The 12,847-nt window shown below is 44.7% G+C and overlaps 1 protein-coding gene and 1 long non-coding RNA gene across 26 annotated transcripts in view; one reads left to right on the forward strand and one right to left on the reverse strand.

Moving 5' to 3' along the window:
- DNAH14 (dynein axonemal heavy chain 14) overlaps positions 1-11,293 on the forward strand; it is a 469,633-nt gene extending 458,340 nt beyond the window's left edge. For 24 of the 25 annotated variants that reach the window (XM_011544062.3, XM_011544067.3, XM_017000296.2 and 21 more), the window contains 5 exons: positions 386-498; positions 1,741-1,880; positions 4,298-4,458; positions 10,527-10,673; positions 11,061-11,293. In XM_011544062.3, the coding sequence (XP_011542364.1) occupies positions 386-498; positions 1,741-1,880; positions 4,298-4,458; positions 10,527-10,673; positions 11,061-11,276 (777 nt within the window). In that variant the 3' untranslated portion in view covers positions 11,277-11,293. Of the gene's footprint in view, positions 1-385; positions 499-1,740; positions 1,881-4,297; positions 4,488-10,526; positions 10,674-11,060 lie in introns of those variants that run through there. The other variant, XM_047445624.1, reaches the window with a different exon arrangement.
- On the reverse strand, positions 2,247-5,851 carry LOC124904525 (uncharacterized). The gene is made up of 2 exons (XR_007066900.1): positions 4,558-5,851; positions 2,247-2,428 (listed from the first exon to the last, which is right to left on the reverse strand). It is a non-coding gene; the product is annotated as an uncharacterized LOC124904525 (long non-coding RNA).

Genomic DNA, 12,847 nt, shown 5'->3' on the forward strand with positions numbered 1-12,847 from the left:
AGACAGTGGGTGGCATTTATAGAACTTTGTATAGGGGAAGGTCAGGAAGCTGAAATTGCTCACACCTAATAGCATGTGAAGGTAATCTCCCCAGAGAGGAGGAAAGGAGGTGAGGAAATGAAAAGATTTGAGAAGAGTGATAAAAGCCTTCAGCCAGGATGGAAGCTTCCAAGCGTTTTATCCAAAGCACTGTTAAGATAATGTTGTTTTGCCCTGGTAATAAGGTTTAGACTTTTCATTATATGCTTTCAGTTGGAAAAGGACATCCTCCTGCCAAGTTATTTCTCCCTGGCAATTGAGTCTATTACCAAGGTTTGCAGAAATGTTCCTAATGACCCCAAAGACAAAGAAAAAAAATGATGTGACTGTCTTTAAATCCCAACAGAAACACGCCTACAGATCTTGTAAGCCACTGAGTTCCTGGATTGATGATCTCATCCAGCGACTGAATTTCTTCAATACTTGGGCCAAAGTGGCTTATACTGCAATACAGCGTCGGTATGGATAAAAGATGCTTTACATTTCTTCCTCATTTTTGCTTAAAGCCCAAAGGTTTATGACATCATTTCCCATGCTTGGTCTCCTTGGGTTCTCACAGTAATGTGTGAATTAAGCAAGGGAGGGATTCTTATCTTCTGTTTGAGCTGAGAAAGTGGGGACCTAAGATGCTGAGTCCTGAGTAAGCTCCCTCCACTCCAAGAGACAGTTATGACTACAACATAGTACATTTCTCTTTCCTAAGAAATGCACAGGGTGAAATGTGAAAGGAAATAATTAGTTACATGTAATTTTTTTTTTTTGAGCCAAGAGTCTCCCTCTGTCACCCAGGCTGGAGTGCAGTGGCACGATCTCTGTTCACTGCAACCTCCACCTTCTGGGTTCAAGCAATTCTCCTGCCTCAGGGATTATGGGCACCTGCCACCATGCCCAGCTCATTGTTTGTATTTTTAGTAGAGAAGGGGTTTCACCATATTGGCTGGTTTTGAACTCCTGACCTCAAGTGATCCATCTGCCTTGGCCTCCCAAAGTGCAGGGATTACAGGCATGAGCCACCGCGCCCAGCCACATGTAATTTTTAAATGTGTTTTTAGTTATAATAAAAATAGCTGGAGAAGCGTTAGAGTAGCAACATCTAGCAAGTGCCTCACAGGATGTGGAGCATTTCTCTAGGAGCTTTACTCACAGAAGCCCACTCAGTTCTCACAGCAGCCCTGTGATGTGAAGTAGGTGCTATCATTATCATCATCCCCATTTTAGAGATGAGGAAACTGAGTCCAAGGACATGAAGTGCCCAAGGCTTCACAACTAGAATATGGAAGTATTGAGATTCAAACCCAGAACTGGTTCCAAAGTCTGTGCCAGGCTGCTTCCTATACCATTTAACTATAAGTGTAGCAACAGCACTGCAGACATCTGACCCACATTTCTTTATATCCTTTGGGAGAAGTCTGTGCCTCAAAAACAACGGACAAGATTCTGCGAGGCGCAGGCAGGATTCCCACTATAATAATGACATCTGTTGTTACCCAAATCTGTTACCTTCCAGCCTTTGTGGTCCCCTTTTCCCTCATGAGCTTAAAACCATAGCTGGCTTCCATTCAAGGGCCTGATAAGAGTCCTGCATTGGGGGAATCGAAATGAAAAGTAAAAGAAGGGCCCTGGGAGGAAATGGCCCACATCACCCAAAGGTGTGCAATTATTATGCCCTTAACCCCCAACCTGTGGTCTGCCTTCCACTAGGTATATGAGATTTGTCACAGTTTGGAAGCAGTCTATTCCATCAACTAGCCAAAAATGCAAACACCCTGAGGATTCAGAGAACAATTTCTTTGAAGGGTTTCCTTCAAGATACTGGCTCCCAGCTTTCTTCTTTCCACAAGGTGAGCATTAGAACCAAGGTCAGCTCCAGACCTGGCCCAGGCAAGTTTGCACTCAGTCCTTCTGTCACTCACCCTTTCCTCCTCCCCTTTAGGATGACAACACCTGCGCCTCCACAGGTGCCTGGGTCTCTAGTGTGCACCAGAGCAGTCTCTTCTCCCTCCCAACCCACTTCCTTCCCTCACCCCAACCTCCTCACATGCCAAATCCACCCACCCCTATCAGATTTCACCTGCGCCTTGGCAGGTCACTGTATCATCTCTCTGCCATTGCTTCTATGATGTCAAAGGTCAACATTAGCACCCAGCTCCTCCAAAGGCCGTGACAAAGGGGTGGAGACGGGCAACTTCACAAGATTGACTCTGAGCTTCAGCCATTCATTCATTTATTTCTGTAACAAGACTTGATGACTGAATGCTGGAACCTAGGCCTTACCTGCTCAACATAAACGTCCAGCAGCGAAGGCAGACATGAACCGGAGTGCATTCCAACGATGCGTGGTCGTGGGGTGGAAAGAGAGTTGTAAAGGGGTGACGCTGGGCTGTGAGCTCTATGAAGGCAAGAACCAGGTCTGTTTTAACTTCTGTGGTGTCCCTAGCACCTGATACAGGCCCCAGCACACACACACAAAAAGCTCTCAATAAATATTTGAAGAATGAATGAATGGCATTCTGAATAGAATATATGAATGGATCAGTACTTGTGGAGCATAAAACAGGGGGACCTTCACTAAGAACCAGGCAAGCCCGCTAAGGAAATAACATCTAGGATGTCTTGAAGCTTGCTACCAATTAAGTATTATCCAGGTGCGGACAGGGGAAGAAGAGAATAATTCGTGGAGCTTACATGGTACTTACTGGGTGCCATGCAGTGTTCTGAGGATTTTATATAAATTAAGTCATTTAAGTCTCATGACAATCTTATGAGGTTGTTCCTGTAACTATCCCTGTTTGCAGAGAGAAAACCTTAGCACAGAGAAGTTAAGAAATTTGCCCCAAGTCATATCACTAGCAAAAAGTTGAGAGTCTCATCCAAGGTCACTTCACTACTAAGTGGAATGATTCTGGGGGTGGGGGGAAACTAATAGGTGACTGAGTCAAGATTTGAACTCAGCCTGACTTAAAAAGTTGAGTGTTTCAATGACTGGACTAAGCGGGGACAGCATTCTTACTAGAGAAAACACCTTTCACACTAGGAGAAACCAAATGTTCATTATGGCCAAAACAAAAGACCCCAAAAGGGAGAATGATGCCGCTGCAAAGTTGGGCACGGCTGGCCCCCAGGGCTGTGTAAGACACACTGAGGGAGCTGACTCCATCCTGTGGCAGCAGAAACCACTGAAGTGTTCCAGGCCAGAGAGGTCATGATCCAGCAGCTATAGGAAGGAAGAAGGGCAGGGGTACATTGGAGAAGAACAAGACTGGGTCCTGGTCATATAAGGAGTCTGCAAATTAGCCAGGTGTGGTGGTGCACACCTGTAGTCCCAGCTACTCAGGAGGCTGAGGCAGGAGGATTGCTTGAGCCCAGGAGGTCGAGGCTGCAGTGAGCCATGATCATGCCACTGTACTCCAGCCTGGGCAACAGAGCAAGACCCTGTCTTATCAATAAATAAATAAAATAAGGAGTCTGCTTTATTCTCCAGGCAAGAGCTGCTGGTGATCAGAGTAGAGCAGTGGTAGTGGGCAGAAGCAGGGAGTAGGGGGCATTTAGGAAGCAGAAGCAACTGGACTCCGTGTTTGGAAGGACAGGGGTGGGGGGAGAAGGAGGTTAAGCATGACTCCTGGGTCTCTGGCTTGGAAAGCTGGGTGGCTGCTGGCGTCATTCACTGAAATACGGAGCACAGGGAGAGGAGCAGGCTGATGGGGATCATAATGACAGGCATGGTGAGTTCGAGATGTTCTCATTTTTTTCCTACTGCACATAGCCTTTCTCCATGCACCCAGGGGGAAACATGGCCACAAGCACCTCAGCAACCCTAGAGGCAACAGAGCCTTCCTTTTCTCAGTGTCCATATGTCATTTCTTGAGGAAGACTCTGACACACTTGGTCTTGTACTTGCCCCTGGGTCCCATCTTTGTTGCCGAGAGGATGAGGCATGATCATCGGCCAAGATTGGCTCAGAAATGGAGAGGGTCTCAGAATTGACAGCCCCTCTATCCCCACAACGAATACAGGAGGGGTGCTGGCCTTGAAAAACAACCCACATTCACCAGGAGGCTCCTGCAGCTGGCCAGACCAAAGTCACCAAGGCCTGAGAGGGTGGGTGAACTGGTCCTCTGCTCCCGCCCAGCCCATCTCTTTTGTTCTCTCTTTTTCCTCCACTCTTCCCTTTCTTCTCCATGAGACATCATTGTTGCTAACCCCAGCAGGAGGCCCTGAGACTCACAAGGAACTTGATGGTGTGTGTTCTTCTCCAAAGCCTTTCTTGCTGCTGTGCTTCAAGACTATGGGAGGTCCCGAGGAATCGCTGTGGATGCCCTCACCTTCACCCACCATGTGATTTCCAACACCACTGACAAGGATGAGAAGTTCTCCGTATTTATGCCAAAGAAACTCAACATAGTCAGGAGAGCGTTTAAGGTACTGGAATACTTCAAGGATTAGAAACGGTGATCATTCATTCATTCATTTATTCATTCAATCAATTGTGCCCTTTACAAACCTTTACTCAGCACTTACCACATGCCAGGCACTAGACAGGCAGATCAACAAGCCCTGCTTCAAGTCCAAATGCCCTCAGACTTCATGTCTTCCACTCTCTTTCTGGGGGGGATAAAAGATCATAAATCATGAATAAAAGATTTAAGTCAATGTAATCAACAGACTTTCTAAGTATCCCCTATTATAAATGAAGACAGAATGCTGCTGAGGTCAGCATCAAAAGGTGATATTTTAAATCAGTGGGCAAACCTGTCCTAGCTGCTCATGGCCGAAATTCCTGCCCCCAGCAACCGACTTATTCCAGAGCTCAGCCAGGTGCTAAGTGGAAACCTACACCTACCCAGACCTCAGCGGTGCAGTGAGGGGGACCCATGGAGGCAGCTTGGGCTGAAGCAGAGCACAGAGCACCAGCCAGCCAGGTGCACCGTGCACCCCAGCCCTGCCACTCCCACGCCACTGTCCCCACTGATTTGAAGGGCCACAGCTGTCATTTTCTAAATTCCAATTTGTTCTGGGAATCTATTTTTCTGCTCCAGGACTAATGCTGGGGAGGAAGGGGAGACAGGGTTGGGAGACATTGGTTTAAAGATTTGAAAAAACAAAAAGAATGTGAAAGGATGCTCAATATCTTTAGTCAGAGAAATGCAAATCAAAATGATAATGAAATACCATTTTACACCCACTAGGTTGGCTATAACCAAAAGAATTGAAAAAATAGTAATAAATAAATAAGTACAATCATGTACCACTTAACGATGGGGATACATTCTGAGAAATGCATCGTTAAGAGTGTACTTCCACAAACCTACACGGCATAGCCTACTGCTTACCTAGGCTAAATGGGATAGCCTATTGCTGCCAGGCTACAGACCTGTACAGCATGTTACTGTATTGAACACTGCAGGCAGTGTAACACAATGGTAATTTGTGTACCCAAACACATCTATACATAGAAATGCATGGATGCATTCCTCTACATCATCGCTAGGTGATAGGAATTTTTCAGCTCCATCATAATCTTATAGGACCAGCTTGGTATATGTGGTCTGTCATTGGCACAAATGTTGTTATGGAGCTCATGATTAAATACACTGAGGGTCATACATGGCCATATGTTTAGTTTTGGTGTAGATACTGCCAAATGGTTTTTCAATGTGGTTGTACCAATCCACAGGCCCACCAGTAATGTAGAAGATTGCTCCACATCCCTGCCAACACTCGGTATTTTTAGTGTTTTAGTTTTAGTCATTCTAGTGGACGTGCAGTGATATATCTTTTTTTGTTTTTTTTTTGTTTTTTTTTTTGAGACGGAGTCTTGCTCTGTCACCCAGGCTGGAGTGCAGTGGCACGATCTCAGCTCACTGCAAGCTCCGCCTCCCGGGTTCACACCATTCTCCTGCCTCAGCCTCCCAAGCAGCTGGGACTACAGGCGCCCACCACCACACCCGGCTAATATTTTTTGTATTTTTAGTAGAGACGGGGTTTCACCATGTTAGCCAGGATGGTCTCGATCTTCTGACCTCGTGATCCCCCTGCTCCGCCTCCCAAAGTGCTGGGATTACAGGCATGAGCCACCGCGCCCGGCCACAGCGATGTTATCTTTATGATTTTAAATTGCATTTCCTTGATGATTAATTAAGGTGGGCACCTTTTAAAATGATTATTGATATTTGGATTTCCTCTTTTGTGAAGATTCTGTTCAAGACTGTGGACTGTTTTTGTCGTATTGATTTATAGAAGTTCTTGTGTATTCTGAATATAAGCTGTCAGGTACATGTATTGAAAGCATCTTCTCCCAGTGTGTGACTTTCCAAATCACTTTCTTAATGGTGTCTTTTGATGAACAAAAATTTTTTTGTTTTAACAAAGTCCAGTGTATCCATCTTTTATTTAGGGTTAATGCTTTTTTATGTTCTGTTTAAGAAATCTTTGCCTACCCTAAACTAAGTTCATGAAAATATTCTCCTGTTATCTTCTAGAAACTATATTGCTTTACCTTTCATTTTCTATGATCTATATATAATTGAAGGCCAGGCACGGTGGCTCACACCTGTAATCCCAGCACTTTGAGAGGTCAAGGTGGGCAGCTCACCTGAGATCAGGAGTTCCAGACTAGCCTGGCCAACATGGCAAAACCCCATCTCTACTAAAAATACAAAAAATTAGCCAGGTTGGGTGGTGCGCATGTGTAATCCCAGCTACTTGGGAGGCTGAGGCAGGAGTATTGCTTGAACTTGGGAGGCAGAGGTTGCAGTGAGCAGAGATCGTGCTACTGCACTCCAGCCTGGGTGACAGAGAGAGACTCTGTCTAAAAAAAAAAAAAAAAAGGAGAATTGAGTTGTGTATGGCATGAGGTGAGATCAAAGTTCTTTTGGTTCCATATGGGTACCCACCTGACTCAGCACCATTTTTTCATTGAAATGGCCCTTTCCCTACTTCAACTTTGTCATAGATCAAATAATTCTACATGCCTGGGCCTGTTTCTATTGAAATAATCAGATAGTTTTTATCCTTTATCTCATTAACATGGTGGAGTACATAGAACTATCTGGAGTGTAGTTGGTTATAAGGTATGATTCCTATATTAGGAATTTTTTAATGAAGAATGGAAGCTAAATGTGATGAGAGAGCTTTTCAGGGTTTATGGAGATTATCACATAATTTATCACTTTTATCAATATGATTTATTAAAAGATCCTAAGGTTGAATCATCTTAATTGTAATATTTTATTCAAGATTTTTGTATCAATATTTTATTTGATATTATTCTGTAGGATTAGGCCGGGCGCGGTGTCTCACACCTGTAATCCCAGCACTTTGTGAGGCTGAGGCGGGCAGATCACGAGGTCAGGAGATCGAGACCATCCTGGCTAACACGGTGAAACCCCGTCTCTACTGAAAATACAAAAATTAGCCGGGCGTAGTGGCGGGCGCCTGTAGTCCCAGCTACTCGAGAGGCTGAGGCAGGAGAATGGCGTGAACCCAGGAGGCGGAGCTTGCAGTGAGCAGAGATCGCGCCACTGCGCTCCAGCCTGCGCGACAGAGTGAGACTCCCGTCTCAAAAAAAAAAAAAAAAATTATTCTGTAGGATGGGGCGGGGGGCTTGGAGAGGGTGATGTTTTTAGTTTTTATTGTGCATATTATTGACGGTGGTTTCCTTATTCTAATCCTATCTGCCTTCTGTCTTTAGGGTTCTCACAGTTTCTGGTCCACTGGGGATACTTCTTGTTTTCCGGTGCTTTCATAGTTGCATTCTGGGATTTGGAGTGGGAGGAGGTGGTGGACACTCATGCTGTTTGGCCTCTGGGTCCTGGTCTTCCTCTCCTCAGCACTCATCAGACTGCACTAAGATGATTCCGAGACTACCCAGAATTAGTGAACGTTAGGAACATGTCAGAAGAAGGATGGAACTGGGAGAGTTTGTCCTACAAGGCAAAAGACTCTGAGGAGAAAAAGAAATATTGAAAAGGGTGATACATGAAGAACTAGACTCTAATTCTGCTAGAACTCCAACCAGGGGGACCTCCAAGGGGAAGACACATGCAGTTGATCTAAATTGATGATGATGGTGGCGTGTCCTTTTATAGACAGGGAGTTCCCTGTCACTGGAGCTTTAGGAGAAATCAGGTGACTGCTTGGCAAGAGTATTGACGTGGAAGAAAGCTCAGGTTCAGATGTGTTTTCGACTGGAGGTTTATCCAACTGTTTATTTAAAATATGGGTCCAAAACTGCTCTGGCTGTTGGAAATATCGAGATGAACAACGTAAGGCCTCTGCCCTCTAGAAGATCCCAATCTACCTGATAATGATGGCACTGATGCTTGCTAGCCAACACTGACTAAGTACTATGTGCTAAGCTCTTTACCTGCATTATTTAATCCTCACAAATTAGCCTCATTCTGTAGGTCAGGAAACTAAGGTTCAAAGAGGCAGATCATAAGCTTTGAACCCACCAAGTCTAGCTGACTCTACACCCATAGCCTAACCTCTTCCTACATAACCCATTAGACATGAAAAGGCTACCGAGAGGCAGATGTGCACCAGGGCCTTTTCTTATGACTCACAGAGGGAGCACAGGGGTATGGACTGCCCGCCTAAGTTTGCTTTTTGCCTCTATTCATCTAATCAGATGTTCTCACTTATTTCTGCTTTATACAAACAACCAGCTTCCACTGAGTTGAAGTAAGATTACTTCCATTTATTCTGAGTGGCTCTTTGAAGAGTTAAATCACTCCAAAAGGGGCTGTTTACAAATTACCTACAGTTTAGATTTTTCAGAGGAAAAACCCATGTAAGCTATGACCAAGTTACACAAGTATAAATGGAAGTGACATTGTCAAATGCGTTAGATTAACTTCTTCCAAGATTGTTAGGAAAGGACAACACTAGAACAAATGCAGTATAGGAAAATTTGCATTTATATAAGTTAAGGGGAAGAGAAGTAAAAAGCATTATACAAAGCAATTCCCAGTAAAATTCTTTTTTTTTTTTTTGAGATGGAGTCTTGCTCTGTTGCCCAGGCTGGAGTGCAGTGGCGTGATCTCAGCTCACTGCAACCTCCGCCTCCTGGGTTCACGCCATTCCCCTGCCTCAGCCTCCCGAGCCCGGCTAATTTTTTGTATTTTTAGTAGAGACGGGGTTTCACCGTGTTAGCCAGGATGGTCTCGATCTCCTGACCTCGTGATCCGCCCGCCTCAGCCTCCCAAAGTGCTGGGATTACAGGCGTGAGCCACTGCGCCCGGCCAAAATTCTTTTATAGAATAAGCCAAAATAGGAAGTGCTTAATATGAGTTCAGCTTGCACCTCCAGGTAGTCACATTCCAGAGTGGACAACACAGAAGGCATCACCAGGCACAGCACAGGCTGTTCCACACTGCCTCCCCTGTGTCAACAAGCTGGCCCAGGCTGCATCAAGGGAGAGCTCAGGACAGCGGTGCCCACCCCTTCTCTTCAGAGACCTGCCCCATCAGAGGAGATGGCAGAGCCCTCCAGGGTGGCCTGGTACTTGGCCACCAGCTCCTCCAGGCTGGGCATCCCTCCAGCACACCTGCAGGAGAGCATGTGGCTTCACAGGCCTACCTCAGGCACACCTGGAGTCACCTGGAATTGGAGCTGCAGGCAACTAAATTTTCTACTTCACAGACCTCATCAGAAACTCATTTTACTTAACCCTTTATCATTAAAATGTAATCCTCTATTTAACCTATATCATTCAAAAATATATGGAACCCGGCCGGGCATGGTGGCTCACACCTGTAGTCCCAGCACTTTGGGAGGCGAAGAGAGACGGATCACTTGAGGTCAGGAGTTCGAGACCAGCCTGGCCAACGTGATGAAACCCGATCTCTACTAAAAATACAAAAAATTAGGCGGGCGTGGTGGTGTGCTCCTGTAATCCCAGCTACTCAGGAGGCTGAAGTGGGAGAACCGATGGAACCCAGGCGGTGGAGGTTGCAGTGAGCCAAGATCATGCCACTGCACTCCAGCCTAGGCAACAGAGCGAGACCCCATGTCAAAAAAAAAAAAAAAAAAAAAAACCCCTCCTCTGCCTTTTTTACATTTCTAGAGCCTAAAACAGTAGTTATGGCCACTATGGTAAAGGTAGGTGACAATGTTTGAGCACAGTGTACTCTGTCACCTTTTGTAACTGTTCTTGTTCTGTCCTAAAAAGCTCGGCTACACGATTACAATTGTAGAAATTTGCATATTTATTGTGTTTGAAGGTCTTTGTCTTCATGCTGAGGAAGGGTGTCATGGAAAAAATACATATATTTCAGTTCAGGATGATTATATAGATACACCTAAGCCTATGTCGTTTTTAAAGCACTCAGAATAGGAAAAAAAATAAGTATTCACCTTAGAACTTGGGGCAACATGCCTTAGGCAGGATGAGCCCCTCTGGATCGGTCGGCTCAATTCCGGACGGAGCCTCCAGTTGGTCGCTGCTTCTCCTGGGGATCCCTGACACCACCTCTCTTCCATCTTAGGGCTCAGCTTCCTCTCACACTGGAGTTTACATTTTTGGTTTATTCATCGAGGGGGCAAGATGGAATCGTGAACAGAAAATACTGGAAGACTCGCTGCCTCTGGAGATGTGCTGTGATTTTCCCGACATATACTTTTTGCCAACAAAGGTAATCACCCTGCTATTATCCTGAAGTCCTAAACCTCTGAGCGTTGCTTCAGTAATATACAAACCACTCTTATTCCCATTCCCTACAATTTTGCAAGGGAGATGTGATAATATACTCAGACAACAAAGATTTTAAATCTCCCAAAATATTACTAAAATCTAAAGTAGATGCTATACTTACATCCCATGTTCTCAATAATATGTACTATAAAGCCATAATACTCTTTAAATTCTCCAGGTATAATTTCCACATGCTGTTACATTAACCATTTAACCTTAAATGTATCTAATTCATAACAAATCCCTCAAGCCTAGCATACAGAAAATGTGAGCTACTGATTCACTTGAACTATGCAATTTGACTACTGGATTTTTTTTTTTTTTAAAGATTTCTACCAAAACACCAAATGCTTCCAACCAGACAGATTCAGAACTCTATGCTTTTGAATGCCCAGTTTACCAGACACCTGAGAGGTCAAGAATTTTGGCAACTACCGGTTTACCAACAAACTTTTTAACATCAGTGTATTTATCAACGAAGAAACCTCCTAGTCACTGGATCACAATGCGGGTTGCATTGCTTTGTGAGAAGAATGAAAAATAAATGTCCATATCAAACCATTTTAATTTTTGACTCTAATCAGACTTACATGTTTCAAGACATTCACATGTAGTCAACACCCTTTATAAAATATTTGTGTGTTCAGCCAGACTGGGCAGGTGCAGTCTATTTCATTTGTACATGAAAACTTCAACACAGAGGGGAATCTTGCAGCTGCTTTTTATTCTAAGTACATGAGACCTGACTGTGCAATGTCCCTGTGGTTGGGCTCTAGTACAGGTCAGCACAACCCGGAATACAGCAAATTTGACTCTCCTAACAGTAAAAACCACAGCACCTGGCAGGATATCAGGGCATGCCTTTATGAACTTTTTGGTAAAAGTGGTTTATAAAATTATATACAATAAACTAAATATACACATGTAGAATAGATCTTTGGAATACTTCCCCTGGCTTCTCTAAGTAAACACAGAATACTACACTGCTGACCTAGCTGCAGACTTCTGAAACAAAAGAGAAGGGCCTTCCTCTTTAAAGAAGTGCAGTCTGGGCCGGGCGTGGTGGCTCACACCTGTAATCCCAGCACTTTGGGAGGCCAAGGCGGGCGGATCACCTGAGGTCAGGACTTCGAAACCAGCCTAGACAACACGACGAAACCCATCTCTACTAAAAATACACAAATTGGCTGGGCGTGGTGGCGCAGGTCTGTAATCCCAGCTCAGGAGGCTGAGGCATGAGAATCACTTGAGCCTGGGAGGCAGAGGTTGCTGTCAGCTGAGACTGTGCCACTGCACTCTAGCCTAGGTGACAGAGCAAGACTCTGTCTTGAAAAAAAATTGCGGTCTGGCTGGGTACAGTGGCTCATGTCTGTAATCCCGGCACTTGGGGAGGCCAAGGCAAGAGGATCACTTGAGGCCAGGAATTCAAGACCAGCCTTGACAACATAATGAGACCCTGTCTTTACAAAAAATTGTTTAAAAAATTAGCCAGGCATGATGAGGCACCTTTAGTCCCAGCTACTCAGAGTCTGAGGTAGGAGGATGGCTTGAGCCCAGGAGGTTGAGGCTGCATTGAGCTATGATCACGCCACTGCACCCCAGCCTGGGCAACAAAGCAAGACCCCATCTCTTTAAAAAAAAAAAAAAAAAAAGTGCAATATGGTTCTGACTTCACTAGACCTCTCTGACCACTAAAAGCCAAATCCTGAGAATTTGGTAAATTCAATGTTCCTATAGGAAGAATGTTATTCTACTAATAATGGCTAACATAACTGAGCACTATGTTGAACACTAATAATTCCTATATCATCCTCAGGCCCCTCTATACTCTGTGGACGTATCAGCCAGATTTTATACATGAGGAAACCAGTGCTCAAAGAGATTAATTGCCCACACACACATTGCTAAGAGGGAGCACAGCTAGCATTTGAAGCCACATCTCACTGTCTCTTTATCATGGCAATGGTCCATGGGCAGAAAGCATAACCCACGTGTACACAAATGAAGATCCCAACAGTCCCCTCTCTCCATAGTAAGGGGGGTAGAAAAGGTGGGACTTGTACCCAGCACTAGACTCTTTTAACAGCCATGAACAAAACATGTATTTAATTGTCT

Source organism: Homo sapiens, chromosome 1, assembly GCF_000001405.40.
Source record: "Homo sapiens chromosome 1, GRCh38.p14 Primary Assembly".
Lineage (NCBI taxonomy): Eukaryota > Metazoa > Chordata > Mammalia > Primates > Hominidae > Homo > Homo sapiens.